The sequence below is a fragment of the Homo sapiens genome, chromosome 13 (genome assembly GCF_000001405.40).
Source record: "Homo sapiens chromosome 13, GRCh38.p14 Primary Assembly".
NCBI lineage: Eukaryota > Metazoa > Chordata > Mammalia > Primates > Hominidae > Homo > Homo sapiens.
In genome coordinates, this window is record NC_000013.11 from 100,706,077 (window position 1) to 100,725,864 (window position 19,788).

Here is a 19,788-nt window from a genome sequence, read left to right on the forward strand (position 1 = left end):
TCTCCTCTTTCCTCACTTAAAATGTCTTTCCCCACCCTGAGGACTTTATGCCTGCTGACCCAGGTTCTCAGTGGGCAGAAACTTAGGAAGGCATCCTGCCAAACAAAGTCTCTTCTTTAAGAGAATTGCGATGAGTGACATTTTCTCTACCCATGAACCACACGTGAGCTGCACTCACCACTTCTCCTACATCCGGAGCGAAAACAACCTCCCTTCCTTCTTTTCTTTCCTCTCCCCTTCTCTTTCTTCTTCTCTTTCTGCTTCCTTGTCCTTCTCCTCATTCCTTTGCAAACCATGAAGAGATAAAACTGTCCATGATGAGATGCTCAGTTTTTTCAAGACGAATTGCTGTTCCACCTCTTAAAAAAAGATCTCACTGCAGAACTGTGCACCCGCGTTTATAAATGTTAGATAACTATGGAAATGATTTAATCAGTTCATCAACACATTTGTTAAGCACCTGTTTTCTGTAAGGCACTGAGCTAGCCAATGAGGGAAAAAGACATGTGATAGACATCGGTTTGCACTTTATTTCCTCTCACACGTCTGTCGTCAGTGCCTTATGTACGTGTCACCTAGTCTATTAATCCACACTTCCTTACTGAGTGCCACCATGTTCCAGGCAGCATGAGAAGCAAACAGCCTTCAGGAAGCTTCCCTCTTCTCCACACACTTTCTCCTTGTTAGTTTGCTCAGACTCCATAACCAAGTACCACAGGCTGGGAGTCGTAAAACCACAGAAACTTACTGTCTCTAGTCCTGGAGGCTAGAGTTTGAAATCAAGGTGTTGGCAGGGCTGTTGTCCTTTCGAGCTCTAGGGAAGGGTCCTTCTTTGCCTCTTCCAGCTTGTGGTGGCCCACAGCACTCCCCGGCTTGTAGCAGCATCACTCCAACCTCTGCCTCTATCTTTACGTGACCTTCCCTCTGTGTGTGTCTGTGTTCAAATTTTTCTCTTCTTAGAAGGACAGCAGTCGTGTTGGATAAGGGCCCGCCCTCATCCAGTATAGCCTCATTTTAACTTGATTCCATCTGCAAAGACCCTATCTCCAAATGAGGGCGCATTCGCAGGTTCTGGGGGTTAAGACTTCAACATGTCTTCAATCCGTCCACAAAACTCTTCTTTCCTCCTTCTCTTACCCTCTGATGAAACTTTCTTCTCTTCTACTCCATTCTTTACCATTCCCTTTTCTTTTTACACAGCTGTATCTTACTGTCTCATTCACCTTCATCCCAGACGAGCCTCTCCTTCATTTCCAGCTTCATATGAGTCCCCATGTCTCTCCCAGTGGTGATGCTGGCTCCCTTGGAGGTGGGGCACAGTAGCCCAGAGGGGTATGAAGGAGAGCGAGAGCGCAGGTGAATGTCTTTAGTGACACTCATCTCAGCAATTGTTCCCTCTCCCATTCACTCAGTGTCCTGCAATCTTGAATATACCACCCATAGGGAAGCATGAGGGAAGGAAAGAGCTGAGAAAGGAGAATGAAGATAAGGATGAAATTCCCTAGATAATCACAGCAAGCAATTAATCTAATTAAGCTAATATTATTCAACTAATTTTATAATACCTGCCAGAATGTTATCAGATTTCGCTGAAGTGCAGCAGCATATTTCAAAATAAGTAGAAAGGGATTACAGATCCTAACTTTGGCAATAAGACTTTGAATCCATGGACTCTGTCTCGCAGTGGGGTTATTGGCTAGTATATCATTGGTGCCTGTGGAATACTTGAGGGATTCCAGTTAGATCAATCAGTTGTATGACCTGCTGCATGTAACTGCTGATGAAGAGGCTTTATCGAGCTGAGTCAGCTTCTGATAGCTGAGCCTCAAAACCTCAGGTGTCTCTCTCTTCCATCATTTACGCAAGAGTGAGAGGTTAGGTCAGACCCTCATTGGCACAATTGTTTTAGCTCAGTGGTTGATGAGCTGATTTCCAGTTTCTCTCTCCCACAAACCTGTGACTCACCCACAAAGGAACATTAGTGGGCTTTGCGGCCCTGATTTCTGGCATCCTAGGTGGGAAAATGAAGAGAGTTAAATCATGATGACACATTGCACACCAGCTCTGCAGGCTGTGAGCCAACTGTGAGAGGCAGGCACAGAGAGCTGGTGATATGGTTTGGTTCTGTGTCCCCACCCAAATCTCTGTCAGATTGTAATCCCCAGTGTTGGAGGAGTGGCCTGGTGGGAGGGGATGGAATCATGGGGGCGGACTTCCTCCTGGCTGTTCCTGTGATAGGGAGTGAGTTCTCGCAAGACCTGGTTGTTTAAAAGTGGGCGGCACCTTCCCCTTCGCTCTTCCTCCTGCTCCTGCCCTGGTAAGAAGTGCTGCTTCCCCTTTGCTTTCTGCCATGATTGTACGTTTCCTGAGGCCTTCCCAGCCATGCTTCCTGTGTGGCCTGTGGAACGGTGAGTCAATTAAACCTCTTTTCATTATAAATTACCCAGTCTCAGGTAGTTCTTTATAGCAGTGTGAGAACTGACTCATTTCAGCTGGTGTATTAGTTTTCTATGGCTGCTGTAGCAAAATACCACAGACAGGGGAGCGTAAACAACAGAAACGTATTCTTTCAAGGTGTCAGCAGGCCTGGTTTCTTCTGAGGCTTCTCTGCTTGGCTTGCAGATGGCTGCCTTCTCAATGTGTCCTCACGTGGTCTTTCCTCTGTGTGCACACATCCCTGGTATCTCTCTTTGTGTCCAAATTTCCTTTTCTTATAAGGACACCAGTCAGATTGTGTTAGGGCTAACCCTCATGGTTTCATTTTAAATTAATTACCTCTTTAAAGGCCCTGTCTCCAAATACAGTCGCATTCTGAGGTACTGGGCGTTAGGGCTTCAATATAGGAATTTGGGGGTTGGGGAAGACACAATTCAGCCCATAACAACTGGTTAGCCAAGAGGAACTAGTTTTGGAAGGAGCATATGACTTTCTTTTCTTCCTTTTCTTCACCCCCACCATCCAGAGCCTTGATTGGGCACTTCTAGCTAATACCTCTGGAAGTTGTATTAACAATAAAGTATCTCTAAGATAAGGTTTTCCAAATAGCTTCATATTTCCTAGAGTACTTGCTAAAATGCAGATTCTTGGGCTACCTGAAATGCTATAAATGGGAAGCTCTTAGGGTTGTAGCCTAGGAGCCTGTATGTTCCCAATAATTACTTCTCCAGGTAATTCTAAAGAACACTAAACTGGAGTTGCGTCACTATCAGTTGGAGATGATTGACTTGACAAAACTAATGATTGGTCACTACTTTTTAAATATGCTGACATGCTTTTTGAATAAAAGTTGCAGAGAAAGAGCAGGCTGCTGTGGGTGAACTGTGCATAACTCTATTTTATTGATGTTTCAACCAGTAAGGACAGACTATTACTGAAGCATTAACAAATAGCTGCGGTGATTATAAATTATTGTCACCTAAATGCAGGGAATCCCACGAGTGTGTGTTGAACATGAGCATTCTATGCATCATGCAATTCTCCAGAGGAAAATCAAAGAGCAAAAGTGCCTCAGACATTCTTTCTAAAACCAGTAAGATTGTATATAGAGAGATGTTCCTCAACTTTGGTGGGGTTGCATCCCAATAAACCACCATAATTTGAAGATATTGTAAGTCGAAAATGCATTTAATACACCTAAACTACCAAACATTATAGCTTAGCCTAGCCTACCTTAAATGTGCTCAACACTTACGTTAGCCTATAGGTGGGCAAAAATCATGTAACACAAAGCCTATTTTATAATAAAGTACTTACTATCTCATGTAATTTATTGAAAAACAGAATGGTTGTATGAGTACTCAAACTACAGTTTCTACTGAACGCATTTCACTTTTGCACCATTGTAAAGTCAAAAAATCCTAAGTCAAACCATCATAAGTTGGGGACCATGTGCATATACAATCTTATATATATATATAGTATATCATCATGTGTTGCGTACTGATGGGGATATGTTGAGAAATGCATCATTAGGCAATTTCTTCACGTGCAAACATCATACACTTACACAAACCTAGATGGTATAGCCTATCACACACCTAGGTTCAATGGTATAGCCTATATATACCTACATATGGTATAGCCTATGCTCCTAGGCCACAAACCTCTACAGCATGTGACTGTATTGAATCCTGGAGGCAATTATAACAATGGTAAGTATTTACGTATCGAAACATAGAAAAAGTACAACAAAAATACCATATAAAAGATTAAACATGGTCCATCTGCACAGGGCACTTGCCATGAATGGAGCTTGCAGGATGGGCAGTTGTTCTGGGTTAGTCAGTGAGTCAGTGAGTCAGTGGAGCGTGAATGCGAAGGCCTAGGACATTACTGTCACTACTTAGACTTTATAAACACTCGACACCTAGGCTACACTTAGGAAATATATTTCTTGTTCAATAATACATTAACCCCACCTTACTGTAATGCTTTTACTTTATGAACTTTACATTTTTAAAACATTTTGACTCTTTTGTAACAACACTTAGCTTAAAGCACAAACACATTACACAGTTGTATAATAACTTTCTTTATATTCTTATACATTTTTTCTATTTTTTAATTTTTTTTTACCTTTTAAACATTTTTGTTAAAAACTAAGATACACACATACATATTTGCCTAGGCCTACACAGGTCAGGATCATCAATATCACTGTCTTGTCCCATGGCAGGGTCTTCAGGGGCAATAATTTGCATGGAGCTGTCATCTCCGATGGTAACGATGTCTCTTTTTGGGATACCTCCTGAGGAACCTGCCTGAGGCTCTTTTACAGTTACCTTTTTAAAAATAAGTAGAAGGAGCGTACTCTAAAGATAAAAAGTGTAGTATAGTAAACGCATTAACTAGTAATATAGTCATTTATTATCAAGTATTATGTACCATGAATAATTGTATGTGCTATACTTTTATGTGACTGTCAGCACAGAGGGTTTGTTTATACCAGCATCACCACGAACATGTGAGTAATATGTTGTGCTATGACATTAGGACAGCTCTGATTTCACTAGGGGATAGAAATTTTTCAGCTCTAACATTATCTTATTAGATCACTGTTGTATATGTGGTTTGTTGTTGACCAAAATGTTATTTGATGCATGACTGTATATATCTTTGTATACTATATATTAGTATAGATATCCATATGTGTATATGCATGTGTGTATATATAGAGAGAGTCAGGGTCTTGCTCTGTTGCCCAGGCTGGAGTGCAGTGGTGCGATCATGGCTCACAGCAACTTCAACCTCCTGGGCTCAAGTGATCCTCCTGCCTCAGCCTCCCAAGTAGCTGGTATCACAGGTGTGAGCCACTTCACTTGGCACCCTTTGGTATTCTGGATGTTTCCAGGTCCTACAGGCTCCTGGGGCCACCTTTTCCTCTAACACAAAAGCAACATGGCACGTGTCCCATTGTGCATAGAATAGGGCATTGAGCATCTTTCCTACATGCTTCTGGGAATTTCCTTGGAGTTTATAATCCCGTGCTCATCCCAGCTCCATATTCTAAACATCTCCATCTGGAAACTCTGTGGCCAATCTGAGCACAAGAATTCCTCACCTGCCAGCCCACGTTCTTCCTAAATTTAGCTTTCCACATGATTCCTGTTATGTGTGCTTTCTCGTTCTCTCTCTCTCTCTCCCTCTTCCTCCTCCTCTCTCTCAAATCACCTCCCATACTTCCTTCCTCCATTCTAACATCCACCCCCAAACTTTTTTTCTCCAACTACCAATGCAAGACTAAAAAAAAGTTACTGAATTATAAAAAGCAATTTAATTCTCCATCCTCATCTCTAACTGGACTCTGGGACTTCTTTTTGAGTTAAAAACAAATCATTTGGGCTGGGTGCAGTGGCTTATGCCTGTAATCCCAGCACTTTGGGAGGCTGAGGCGGGCTGATCACAAGGTCAGGAGATCGAGACCAGCCTGGCTAACATGGTGAAACCCCGTCTCTACTAAAAATACAAAAAGTTAGCCAGGCGTGGTGGTGCGTGCCTGTAGTCCCAGCTACTCGAGAGGCTGAGGCAAGAGAATTGCTTGAACCCAGGAGGCAGAGGTTGCAGTGAGCCGAGATCGCACCACTGCACTCCAGCCTGGGCGACAGAGCGAGACTCCATCTCAAAACAAACAAAAAAACCCCAAATCATTCAACGCTGATTTCCTGAACACCTGCCAGGAGATAGGCCCTGTTTTAGTGACCTGAGGTGCCCTCTAAGGTGTTCTGCTAAGGGACCATTCCACCTTCAGAACAAAGAACAGGTTGAAAGTTTGTATTTGAGACTCTCTTATACTTGGGTGAGATCAAATTCTTAGGCAGAACACTCTCTCCCAAATACATATTAGAAATATTTTATTATTTGTTTATTTATTTATTTATTTATTTTTGAGACAGGGTCTCGCTCCATCGCCCAGGCTGGAGTACAGTGGTGCGATCTCGGCTCACTGCAGCCTCTGCCTCCTGGGTTCACGCAATCCTCCTACCTCAGCCTCCTGAGTAGCTGGGATTATAGGGGCGTGCCACCACACCCAGCTAATTTTTGCATTTTCAGTAGTGACAGGATTTCACCATGTTGGCCAGGCTGATCTTGAACTCCTGACCTCAGGTGATCCATGTGCCTCAGCCTCCCAAAGTGCTGGGATTACAGGCTTGAGCAGCTGGGCCCTGCCAGAAGTAGTTTTTTTTTGTTGTTTTTTTTGAGACAGAGTCTTGCTCTGTCGCCCAGGCTGGAGTGCAGTGGCGCAATCTCGGCTCACTGCAAGCTCCGCCTCCTGGGTTCACGCCATTCTCCTGCCTCAGCCTCCCGAGTAGCTGGGACTACAGGCGTCCACCACCATGCCCGGCTAATTTTCTGTATTTTTTTAGTAGAGGCATGGTTTCACTGTGTTAGCTAGGATGGTCTCGATCTCCTGACCTCGTGATCCGCCCGCCTCGGCCTCCCAAAGTGCTGAGATTACAGGCATGAGCCACTGCGCTCGGCCAGCCAGAAGTATTTTTTTAAAGTTCTTGTTATAGTTCCTTTTTTGTGTGTGGCAAAATATATATAGTATAAAATTGGCCATTTAAACCATATTTTGAGCGAACAATTCAGTGGTATTAGGTATAATCGTGATGTTGTACAGCCATCTGCACTATCCATTTCCAGAATTTTTTCATCATCCTAAATGGAAACTCTGTTCTTGTTAAACTGTTCCTGCTACTAACTCCCATTCCCCCTCCTCTCAGCTCCTGGTACCCTCTATTCTGCTGTCTGTCTCTGTGTGTTTGCCTTCTGGCTATCTCAAATAAATGGAATCTGACATTCGTCCTTTTGGGCCTTGCTTATTTCACTTGACATGTTTTCAGGTTCATATGTGTTGTAGCAGGTATCAGATCTGCCTTCCTTTTGAAGGTGGAATAGTATTCCACTGTAGGTATATACCACAGTTTGCTTCTCCATTCATCAGTTGAGGGACATTTGGATGGTTTCTGCCTTTTGGCTACTGTGAATAAGGCTGCCATGTACATGGGTATACAGGCATGTATACCCATGTTTGAGTCTTTATTTTCAGTTATTTTGGGTATGTAGCCAAAAGATGCTGGACCATAACTGCTGTTGCATTTCTTTTTATCAAACATGATATATGGTGGGTGTCAGGACCAGTCTGGGTTTCAATGCTGGCTCAGTCACTTATAATTTGGGCAAGTAAACTCACCGTCTCATCTCCTTTCTTCCTCTTAAACAGGGGCCTGGACTAAGATCCCTTCTAGTCCTAATATTTATGAAATGAATATTGAATCATATTTCACAAAGCCACATTATACCTTATTTCAAAAATGCTTAAATTACCAAAAGTGAAATCTTCAGTTTTACATGTCTCCAAAGTTATTATGTCTTTTGTGTAGAAAATTGTAGCTGCTAATATCTGACATTGTAGCAGTCACTCTGACAGTCTTATCCATCTATCCATTATCCATTTTTAAGTTTTATGTGTTGGAAATATAAACATGAGTCACACAAATTCTATTCTTTGGCAGAAGCAGATTCTGCCAAGTTCTAGTCACACAAATTCAAAGTCACACAAATTCTAATTCATTGGCAGAAGCAGAGGTAGATCAATTCCTTTCCTCTTTTCCTTTATTCCCCCTCTCCCAATTTGAGCAGGGGGAGCATTTTGGCCCAGTCCTCACATCCATGAAAAACTTCAAACATTAGACTTCACTTCTCATGTTGAAGTTAAACACACAGTGACAGAAATCATTGACAGGATAGAGAAAAAATGATGTCATATAAATTGAATCTTGCATCTTATTACTAACCACACCTCTGTAGCATTATAAATTAATATTTTCAGTACATGCTATAATTATCTTGTGATTAACAGTCTTGCATTCGTTGTAGGAATGTTAAAAGGATTAATTTTATACATGTAAATATTTGAACTGTACCACGATGTCTGTTATCCTGGGTTTATACTTGGCTGAGAATAGCAAGGACCCCCAACAAACAGTATCTTAGGGAAGATATATATCTTCCTTCCAAGCTTCTGCCACCAGAAGGCAAGAGGGAGGCAGTCTGGGGTTTGTGTGGCCACAGGAGAGTGTTCTGACAGATGCCACATTATTTTCCCTTCCTCCTGGGCTGGACTATGTTTCCTAGACTTCTTTGCAGTTAGTGTGGCCGGATGACTGAATTCTGGCCAAAGGAAAGCAGTTGGAAGTGATATATGCAGCTTTTGCTTCTGGTTCATAAAACTTTACTGCAGAATTGGTTCATTCCCTCTTTTCATCTCTGCTGGTTGGATGTTCACACCCAGGGTGATCTGAGAAAGCATGTGTTGAAGATGGTAGCACCTCCATCAGCCTGGGTCCCTGAATCATGACATGGAGCAGAGCAGTTCCTTCCATCCCCTGCTAGTTGAAATTTACATACATCATAAATGATTGCTGTGTGAGAGTTCAAAGTTTGCTTGTTACTGCAGTTATTGTTAACTTACAAAGACTACATCAGGAGACTAGTCTCTTTCTACGTTGTCTACCTTGGACATGTAGCTTTCATCCTTATGGTCCTAAGATGACTGCCACATCACCAGCCACCAATAGCTGCATCCCAGCCAGAAAAGAAAGGAGACCAGGAAAGAGCAGAGAGGAGCCCTTTCTGAGGACTTTTACCTATTTTTTAGTGGCCAGGCTTGTGGCATGTGACTACCTCCAGCTGCAAAGGAGGCAGGGAATTTGAATATTTTGTTTGCCAGTCTCTACTGTAGATAGAGGGACATAGTATTGAAAATGAGCAAATAGGCACTAGTCTCTTTTTTGGCATTTCATCTCAAGAACTTTAAAAGCAGCCTCTTTGATCCCTGAGAGGGCCCCTTTGAGTTTCAGCCACTTCGTGCTCCTGCCTGTGGGTGGAGGTCAATATCTGGCCCCATGCTCAGTCAGGCTGACCCGGGCTGTGGTACCTTGGTTGGGCCTGGTCACCTCCCAAGTTACAGCTTTCTTTCTCTTGTCCTTCTGTCTCCACTGTTGTTTCCAGTTCATATAATTTTACTTCTGTTTTTGGCTTGTTTCTGATTTTATTTCTGCCTCCCACAGCTATACCGCCCTCCGGGAAGACTGGTAGGGATTGCTCCCAACTTGGTACAGGAGCTGGAATCCCACCACCCGTGAAGAGGCCTGGCCCTGTTCTCCTAACAGCCTGGACTCCCAGGTGCTACCCACCCTTGGTGACCCAGGGTCGCTGGGCTCAGTGCCCTGCTGGGGTGCCCATTCTCCCTGCTTACTCGCATGCCCCCATCTCCCAGGACCAGGCCTGGGAATACTCTGTTCGTCAGGACCTTGTCCATTTGGTAGCTGGGCAGTGTTGGCTGGGACTAATTCTGTGTGTGTATATATGTGTGTGCACGTGTGTGTGTCTGGTGGTTAGGGAAGGCTTGTGGATGCTGGGCTATGAAAGATGGTCTAGATCTGGGCAAGTGGAGATGAGGGTATGGCCTCCTCTATGATCACCCATAAAACACCAGGTAGGAAGCAAGTGTGACCGACATGTGACTCCACCCAAAGTCCTTAGGCCCCTTTTCCATTCCTCTTGTTCTACTCCCACCCACTCAACCCCCTACACAAACTTCTGTGTTTTGCTTCCCACAGCTCTGTACCTGGGACTCAGCTAGCGTTGCCTCCTCTTACGGAGTCCCAGGAGTGCCTGGGTTTACAGCCCATCTTCCCTCCCACCCTCACCTGGCCCTTCTCCAGTGTCAGGCAGTGGCTGGGGGGTGTAGGGAGTCTGAAGGCCCAGTGCCCTCGCCCTGGATAAAGACAAACTTCAGAGCTCCCCTCTGTTCCCTCCAAGGTCTGTGTCTGAAGTCACCCCCTTCTAGGCTTTTCCCTGTCATCTGTCCAGCTTCCTCAGTAAGTCACCTGCACATGAATCGTCATCTCAGGGCCTCTGCGGAACCCCGCCTGAGACAGCAGAAAAGTGTCTGGGGAGCAGAAATAGCTCATTTGAACTGTGGTCCAGAAAGAGCAGTCAGCTTCGAGTGCCAGGCAAGGCTGGGTCGCACTCTGTTCTGTAGGAAGGGGATGTCAGCAGCAGCTCCTGAACTGCGAATCAGCCTACAGGAGGGGGGTTAATCTATACATTAGCATGGGGGAAACTTGGAGGCAATAAGGTGGCTGGAAGGCTATTTTAATAATCCTGAGTTCTCAAAAGCTTAAAATCAGTTTTTAGGGTGTGGCAGCTGGAGGGTGAGGAATGGGGCGCACAGGAGGGGGACTTCGGAGGCTGTATTGGCCAGGGGGCACGAGAGAAGGCACCCACACTGATGCCCTGGAGTGGGGAGAGAGGGGGTGCCATCTGAAACAGAGAGAAGGGCTGGTCTAGAAAGGGAGAGGGGAAATTCCGTCTCTCATCCCTGTCTGCCACTCTGAAATCATACCCTTTCACTCTGCATTAATATTTCTTTCCCTCGCATTCTTCTTGATTTATCTTCCAGGAGCAGACCCTCCTTTCCAAGTCATCATCTGGCATAATTCTTAGATCACTATGGCTTAATTGGTGTTTGATCATTTTTAGTCTCAGCTCTTCAACATCAAGGGAGAATTTACAGGGGAACGAAAAAGATCTCATTGCGATGACGCCCAGTGTCACAGAGCTGGGTGTGTTAAGTCTTCTTTTACAGCTTTTTGAATGCCATGGCCTTGCATTTAGATAACACCTAATGCCAACAAAGCAGTGAGCTGTGAGGATTGAGCTGTGTAACGGTAGCATTTAACAGTAGGGCTGAGTTTATTGTACATTTTAAAAATTAACTCTGTCCTTCATGATCCTAAGATGTACTGATGATTCTATAGAAGCAGAATGGGTGAACTCTCAGTCCTAGAAATTCTGAATGATGAAGACACAATATAACCTGCGAATCACTTAGATCATTTTTCTTACAGACACAATACTTAGCTTTATTTGACAGTGTTTTCTAAGATTGTATTTTGCTTTAGATAATGAGCCATTGTACTAAGAATGGAGAAATGCTCCAAGGCGCTTGCTTTTAATTTAAACACAAGTTCAATGCACCATCCCAGAGTGGAGATTGCTATCATCATTAGCGCATCTCGCATCTCGGGCTATATTGCTTTCCAAATTTATATGTTCTTTGTGTTAGATGATGGTGCTGTACCCTTTCAGCAGCTCTCAGTGGGTATCCCAAGGAAAAGTATGTTCTTATTAAACAAGGACCAAACTGCTAAGGGAATGCTGCCTTAATTAGTTTAATCATTACAAATTGATTGAGACCCCACCCACATTTTTGAATGCCTACTATGTGCGGGGCACAGTGCTAACTGCTAAGCACTGGGGACACACAGAGGCACCTATAAAATGTGTCCCCTGCTGCAGAGGGACTTGTAGGCTAGTTGGCATTACAGACGTAGGAAACGGATTATTATGGTGCAGTCTGGTATGGTACACAGGGCTCAGCAGGCTTCAGGGAGGAGGCGAACACCCCTGGAGCGCCTGCAGAGCCATTCCAGTTCTCCCTAGCTTCCCTGCATGTTTCAACTGGATTCGGCACTCCTTGCATCTGCTGCTTTAAAACAAGAGAAGATTCCTCAAAAAGTTGAATGCAAAATTACTACGTGACCCTGCCATTCCACTTCTGGGTATATACCCAAGAGAACTGAAAACATGTGTCTACACAAAAGCATTTATACCCACGTACATAATAGCAGTATTCACAACAGACAAAGGGTGGAAACCGACAAAATGTCCCTCTATTACAGGAAAGAGTCCTGATCCAGACCACTAGAGAAGGTTCTTGGATCTTGTGCAAGAAAGAATTCAGGGCAAGTCCATAGAGTAAAGTGAAAGCAAGTTTATTAAGAAAGAAGAACGAAAGAATGGCTACTCCATAGACAGAACAGCCCCGAGGGCTGCTGGTTGCCCATTTTTATGGTTGTTTCTTGATGATATGCTAAACAAGGGGTGGATTATTCATGCCTCCCCTTTTTAGACCATATAGGGTAACTTCCTGTCGCTGCCGTGGCATTTGTAAACTGTCATGGTGCTGGTGGGAGTGTAGTAGTGAGGACGACCAGAGGTCACTCTCATGGCCATCTTGGTTTTGGTGGGTTTTAACCGACTTCTTTACTGAAAACTGTTTTATCAGCAAGGTTTTTATGACCTGTATCTTGTGCTGACCTCCTATCTCACCTGGAGACTTAGAATGCCTTAATCATCTGGGAATGCAGCCCAGTAGGTTTCAGCCTTATTTTACCCAGCTTCTGTTCAAGATGGGGGTGCTGTGGCTCAAATGCCTCTGACACATCAACAGATAACCTAAATGAAACAAAATACTGATACGTGCTACCACATGGATGAACTTTGACACTATTATGTGAAGTGAAATTAGCCAAATACAAAAGGTCACATACTGTATAATCCATTTACATAAAAAATCCAGAATAGGTAAATACATAGAGACAGCAGATTAGTTTTGTCAGGGGCTAATGGGGCGAGGGAATGGAGATTAACTGCTTAATAGGTATGTCATTTCCTTTTGGGGTGATGGAAAATGCATTGGAATTAGATAGAGGTGACCATTGTATAACATTGTGTATGCAGTAAATGCCACTGAATTGTATATTTCCAAATGGTTAATGTTATATATGAGAATTTTACCTCGATTAGAGAGGAGAGGACTACTTATTTGGGTGTTCAGACCAAAGCTGAAGGGATACCAATGATAATATATTCTTAATTCTCTTACCTGGGAGAGAAGGCCCTCTTCAAATCTCTTCAGTCTGTGGTATGTCTTTAGCCAAAATATACCAGGAAAATATTGGTTCGATACAAATGCATCTTGTTTTTAAGCCAACTTGGGAAAGGTAGACACAGCTCAGTTTCATAACAACAATAAAAAATACAGAGTGACAAACCCTATCAGGTGGTATTCAACAGCTCATGGGCTGTTGCCTTAATTTAGACAGAAGGCAGGCAAGGGAAGTTGCAGGAAAATAAAAAAATTAAGGACAAATTATTCATACGTGGATGATATGGTTTGGCTCTGTGTCCCTACCCAAATCTCATCTTGAAATGTAATCCCCACATGTCCAGAGAAGGACCTGGTGGGAGGTGATTGGGTCATGGGGCCAGTTTCCCCTATACTGTTCTTGTGGTAGTGAGTTCTCACGAGATCTCATGGTTTAAAACTGTCAGTTTCCCCTTTCTCTCTCTCTCTCTCTCTCTCTCTCTCTCTCTCTCCCTCTCCCTCCTGCTGCCATGTAAAACGTGCCTTGCTTCCCCTTCGCCTTCTGTCACGATCGTAAGCTTCCTGAGGCCTCCCCAGCCATGTGGAACTGTGAGTCAATGAAATCTCTTTCTTTCTAAATTACCCAGTCTCAGGTATATCTTTATAGTAATGTGAGAGTGGACTAATACAGTGGAGTTAGCAGTATTGTTAGCAGTGGCGGCAAGCTTTGCTTAAAATGGAAGACCGTACAGTGCTATCTGTTAGTATTTTGTGCTAAAGGGAAAAACAAGCCTAGTGACTGTACTAGGGAAAATGAAACGTATTCAGTTTACCTCCACAAACGTGTATGTGAAATTGATTCAGCTCAATTTTCAAAATATGTTTGTCTTAGACCCTGTACATTGGCAATACAAATACAAAGATCTGGCTCTTGTCCTCAAGGATCTTACAGCCTTCAGTAGAAATAGCCAACTGTAGTAGATGAGAGACTGAATATACACATAGACAGTGGCCAGACCGTATATAAAAATACAACTCTGACCCCAAATCTGCAGCAACTACCTCAGAAAATCAACCCATTATATACAGTAACCAGCCCAGGAAGCCATCTGCTGCCTTTAAAAGCCAGACTTACAGGAAGTCAGGCTACTATCTCTAGCAACTGGTCTAAGAAGCCAAACAATAACCCTTCTAGTAGTCGGCCCCAAATGAACAGGACTTGATTAATAACTGACACCTTCCCTAATTTTTGTGCCTGCTTCCAATTTAAGACCAACCACAGAAAGCCAACTATGGCCCTAACCAATCAGATAGGCTTCAATGCTCCTAGTTGGCCACCGTGGGCTTCCCCAGGCCAACAGCCTCCAATCAGGGCACACCTGAAGCCATCCCTTGTGTGCTCTGTAAAGTTCTCCCACTCCCCTGCCTGCCTTTGAGTCCCTGCCAAACAAAAGTGATGGTGGCCAACTCCCTTGATGGAGCAAGCTCTGAATAAGTAGCCTTTGCCTTTCTTGTGTGGGTTGTGTTCATTTATTTCTACATAGAGAAGGCAGAATAAAAGAAGTGCTAAAAACACCTACAAATTTCATACTGTGTGGGAACAAAGGGAAGAGTAATTCCTTCTGTCCCAGGAGGCTGGGAAGGCAACCTTGCAGCAAGTTGCTGAAAAACACCATGGTGCATTCCTAAAGAGCCTCCTTTTAAATTCTGATACACTAGTGCTAAAATAACTTGTGGACTGTTTTTCAGAAGGGAGACATGTTGTCCCACCTCCAAAGGGAGAAATTAGTCCTCTGAGGCCGCCGATGCTAAGGCTGCTGGTGGCTAAGGTTAGCCTCCCGCCAGCTCAGGGTTCTAAGAAAGACTTGCATCACTGACTCTGGCAGGGCTCACGTATACTTCAGGATTTCTCTGCTGGACATGAGCATAATTGTCCATAAATACATGAGAAAGGCTATGTATTTTCATTGCTATTGGCTAAATAGGCTGTTGAGATATTTATGGGCTTTCGGCCCAATTTTCTCCCTTTATCCACCTCCTTCAAGCAGATAGACCCGAGATTCTTTGCCCCCAGGAAGGCTTGAGGCTGCCTGACTTGATTCTAAACCCACTGAGGAGATAAGGCTGTAGGTCCCTGAGAGGCACTTCAATGATGAGGTGTCCTGCTTGGAGATCTGATACCGCAGAGGGGCAGGAGGGAGAGGTACGTGAATCAAGAGCAGGAAGTCTGAGGGTCTTAGAGGAGAGGGAGTCTTGGTCATGGCTTCCTGGAAGCACATGGAGATGCTGACGGACCCAGGGGAGAATCCAAGAATCCAAAGGCCGTCCAGCTCATTTAGGGAGATGGAGTCTCATGGCAGCAATGGGGCCCAGCTGGGGCCATGCAGGGGGAAGAGGATGTCTCAGCAATTAGCAAACTGATGCGAGTCCAGGGGGCATGTCACAGACCTGCAGCAGTGCACACAGACCTCCATAACCGTGCGAGAGCTTCAGGGAGACATCCGGAAACTCTGAAAGTCATTGAGGTTAGATTTTCTACCAGCCTGGTATTATTAGCACTGGGATCAGAAATCAAATTAATTTATATAAATAAAGAGATGTGCTGTTTCCTGAGTTTGTGAACTATGATTCATGTATGAACTTGATGCTTATGAAGTTAACAAAAAAGGGTCATAGAATAAATTAATACAAATGATCTCACGTGTGTATGCATAATTTCAGGGTGGGCTGTATGTACGGAAACACTCATGGTGTGGGGAGGCTGGAGGACCAAGTAGGGGAGATAGATGAATTATCTGGCCGCCCACTAGATGGCGTTAAGGAGCATGTTGTTTTACCTCTGTGGGCAGATTTCTTTGCCCTTCCTCTCTCTTTTCCTTACTACAGATTTTGCAGCGATTCTTTATGTCAGTATTCTATGTTTGTGAATTAGTAAGAACTTAGACTCCCTTAGGAAAATGCATTGAGTAGGAGTTGAAAGCTGAGTAGAAATGATGAGGAGGTTGGGAAATATTAAATCTTTCGTATATAAATTCTTGGTGCTGTTTATATTTCTGGCTTTAGAAAAAAGAGAGCTAGAACATATTTCTTTTCAGGGAGAAATGTTTTTAAACAAGCAATATTTGGGAGAACACATAACCAACATCTACAAATTACAAAAATGTGATTTGATCAGAAATATTTACAGGATTTCTAACAGAAAAACTAACTGGTCTTGATTTGTGGCTTAGAGAGGCAGCCTGCAGCTTCATAGCCTCCTATGGTTCCTGCTCTCCTGCCGCTGGCTTTGGCAAAGAGAGTCTCTTTGGTGGCAGCAGTCGGGGGAGAATGGAGGAGGGGGGATGATTCTGGCCATTGTTGGTACTGGATTCTGGGAGCAGGGCATGGCAGAGGCCAGTACTCTTGGAAGGAGGCTATTGATGGATGGCAGTCAGTTCCTAGAGCGCTGTGCAATTACAGTGTAACACCAGCCTGTGGCAGGCTCCTGGAGAGGAAGCCAACTGCCTCCCTTCTGGCCAAAAACCAGCTTCTGAGATATGGGTGCTCAGGTGGGAAGGAGACCTGGGCCCCTGGCAGGACGATGCTTCACAGTAAAGAACGAAGGCTGGAGGCCGATTCCGTGGTTTAGTTCCAGCATAAGGTGTACCTGGGTGCAGAGGGCTTGCCCCAGCCCGGGCACCAGAGATGACAGATCTGCTTGGCAACAAGGGAATCCTGGGAGGGAGGCGGAGTAGACAGAATTGCCCCCCAAAGATGTCCGCATTCTAATTCCTGGAGCCTGTGGATATGTTTCATTACATGGCAAAAGGGATTTTACAGATGCGATTGACATTACTATTAATAGTCGGTTGGCATGAAGATAGCGAGATTGTCCTGGGTCATGGGGGGTTGGAGGATACCAATGTGGTCACATGAGCCCTTCAAGCAGAGAATCCTAGGAGAGGGCAATAGGATACTCAAGTATGAGGCTGATACCACGTGCCAGTGCTGGTTTAAAGAGAGAGGGGGTAATGTGCCCAGGAATGCAGGTGACCTTAGGCAGCTGACAGAGGCTCCTGAAAATGGGCACCTCAGTCCTACAGCTGGGAGACACTGAATTCTGCCAATAACCTCAATAAGCTTAGAAGCAGGTTCTCCCAGAGTCTCCAGAGAAGAGCCCACGCAGGCCAACACCTTAATTTTGGCCTTGCAAGACCCAGAGCAGAGAAATAGCTGAGCCCACTCAGAATTCTGACCTACAGAGCTGAGAACTAATATCTTTCTGTTATTTTAAGCCACTGAGATTGTTGTTGTTTGTTCTAGCAGCAAGAGGAGAGGAATATAGGACTGGAGGCTGGGGGTGGGGAGACTGGGGCCAGGGCCTGAGGTCATACCTAATTCCAGGTTGTTCTTCATGGTGGGGGAGAAGGTGAGGGTGACATGAGTTGGGGGGTAGGGATATCAGTAGGCTCAGTGCCAGAGGGGAGACACCAGAAAAGAGCAGGAGAGGACAGTAACTCAAGATGGTGGAACTCTTTGCTGGCTTAGAACTTCCTCTAGCTCACTGCTCTGATCCTGGTGGGTGGCAGGATCATAATGGTAGCATTTTATGGAAATAGCATTTGCTATAGTTTGGATGTTTGGATCAAACCTCATGTTGAAGTTTGATCCCCAATGTTGGAGGTGGCGCCTTGTGAGATGTGTCTGGTTATGGAGGTGGATCCCTTATGAATCAATGAATGCCTTCCTTTAAGGGTGAGTGAGCGTTCCCTTTTAGGCCCATGAGAATCAGTTGTTAAAATGAGCCTGACACCTCCCTCTGCTGTCTCTTGCTTCCTCTCTCACCCTGTGATCTCTGCACATGTGGCCTCCCCTTCACCTTCCATTATAAGTGGAAGCAGCCTGAGGCCCTTGCCAGAAGCAGACGCTGGTGCCATGCTTCCTGTACAGCCTGCAGAGCCATGAGCCAACCTCTTTATAAGTTACTTAGCCTCAGATATTACTTTATAACAACACAGACTAAGACAGCATTTGTCCTTGATGGCAAAGCAATCAGCTCCACTTTTGGTCTTTCTTCATTCTTAGGCTTATTTGTTCCAGGTGTAAATCTCTTAAAATTAGCTAACACTCTTCCAGGAAATCACATTGTGAAACAAACATCAGGTGGAGAAGAAGGGTTCATTTGGCCAACATGTACTTTCTTTGATACAGCATTTTGGAAAATGGGAGATGTCTCTTCTACATTGCTTGCAAAAACCGTGCTGGGAAACCATCAGAAAAATAAATTTTCCCAAGAACAGAGCATTAAGGTTTATATTGTTTTTTACCTGAAAGCCTAAAACCAGCTTCCATTTATTTCTTGTGAATATGTCACTTTGAAATATTTAAGATCGAAAGGTTTGGCTTGTTTTTGTAGTGGCCGCTGGATGGAAAACCGACTAAAGCATGTTAAGACTGACTGGGGATGCAATGTGCCAAATTGCAAATACAGCTATCTCTACTTTCTGAGTGACTGTTTATAATACAACTGGAATTGCAGGTTCTTCTACCTCAGAGGTTGAATAAATGACTGTGTTCCCCAAGCAATTCTTGTGTCTTTTTTTCAGCCATTTCTGCACAGAATGACGGTTGTGACCTCCCAAGAGCTAATGTGTTAATTACTATGGGAAATTGCTGTGGGGTCCCCAACAGGGTTGTCTGTAGAATATTAAACTCTCAGTTTTCCAGAAGAGGCATTTCTTCCTTCGCAGTTTTGAACCATCTTCAGGACAGGAGATAACCGTATTCAAGGTTTTCTCAGTGTTCAATCTATATTGTTTCTGAATGGAGGAAATTTCTTGTACAGAGTGGTCGGGGAGATGGTCACTCTACAATTCATCAAGAGCTTAGCTGCCAAAAAATATCACCTTTGACGATCTCCAGCCTATCCTGAAAATTTCACCCTTTAAGTTTTATTTGTTTGTATACGTATTTTATATTTATACCATATCTATTTCCAAAGATGATTTGAGGAGCTATATACCATCAAGCCAGTTAAACAAGAGCCAAAAGCCAAAGCCTTATAATAAAACAAAAAAGAGATTTTTTCATCAGAAAATTTAGGCTGAGGAAAAATATGAAGTCCAAGAAAAAAATGAACTAAGATCTTTCTGGAGGCAACTGAAAAGGAGTTCATAACCAAAAGAAAGGAGGGGTTACAGACATCGAGTGTGTAACAGTAAGACAGCACTAATTCGTCATAGAAGGACAGGAATTTCCACCAGCAGAGCCCCTTAAGAAGGTTATCTGGGAGCGTGCGGAGGGCCCAAGCAATGTGCTGCAGCCCTGCCTCTTGGGTGCCTTTGCCTGCTAGTTACACTGGCTGGGGGAGGTGGGGAGAGCCCTGGCCACAGGGAGGTGCTCTCAGTGGAGGGGGCATGGCAAGTGTGGCAGCTGGGTGTCAACGTGGGGAGACCCAGGGGAACCCCACAGGCACATGAGAAGTGTAAGAAATGTTAGTTTCTTTTTTTCCCTCTCTGTTGATGTCCTCTTTAATTCAAGGCTTTGTATATGCGTGTTTAAACATTTCCAGGCAAAAATATGTTGGGGCT

General features: G+C 44.2%; 1 long non-coding RNA gene across 1 annotated transcript in view; it reads left to right on the forward strand.

Annotated features, from left to right (window-relative positions):
* The first annotated feature begins 2,248 nt into the window (after nt 1–2,248).
* The window catches only part of NALCN-AS1 (NALCN antisense RNA 1), a 350,962-nt gene continuing 333,422 nt past the window's right edge, over nt 2,249–19,788 (forward strand). Inside the window, exon 1 of the long non-coding RNA NR_047687.1 lies at nt 2,249–2,317. This is a non-coding gene — a long non-coding RNA (NALCN antisense RNA 1). The remainder of the gene's footprint in view (nt 2,318–19,788) is intronic.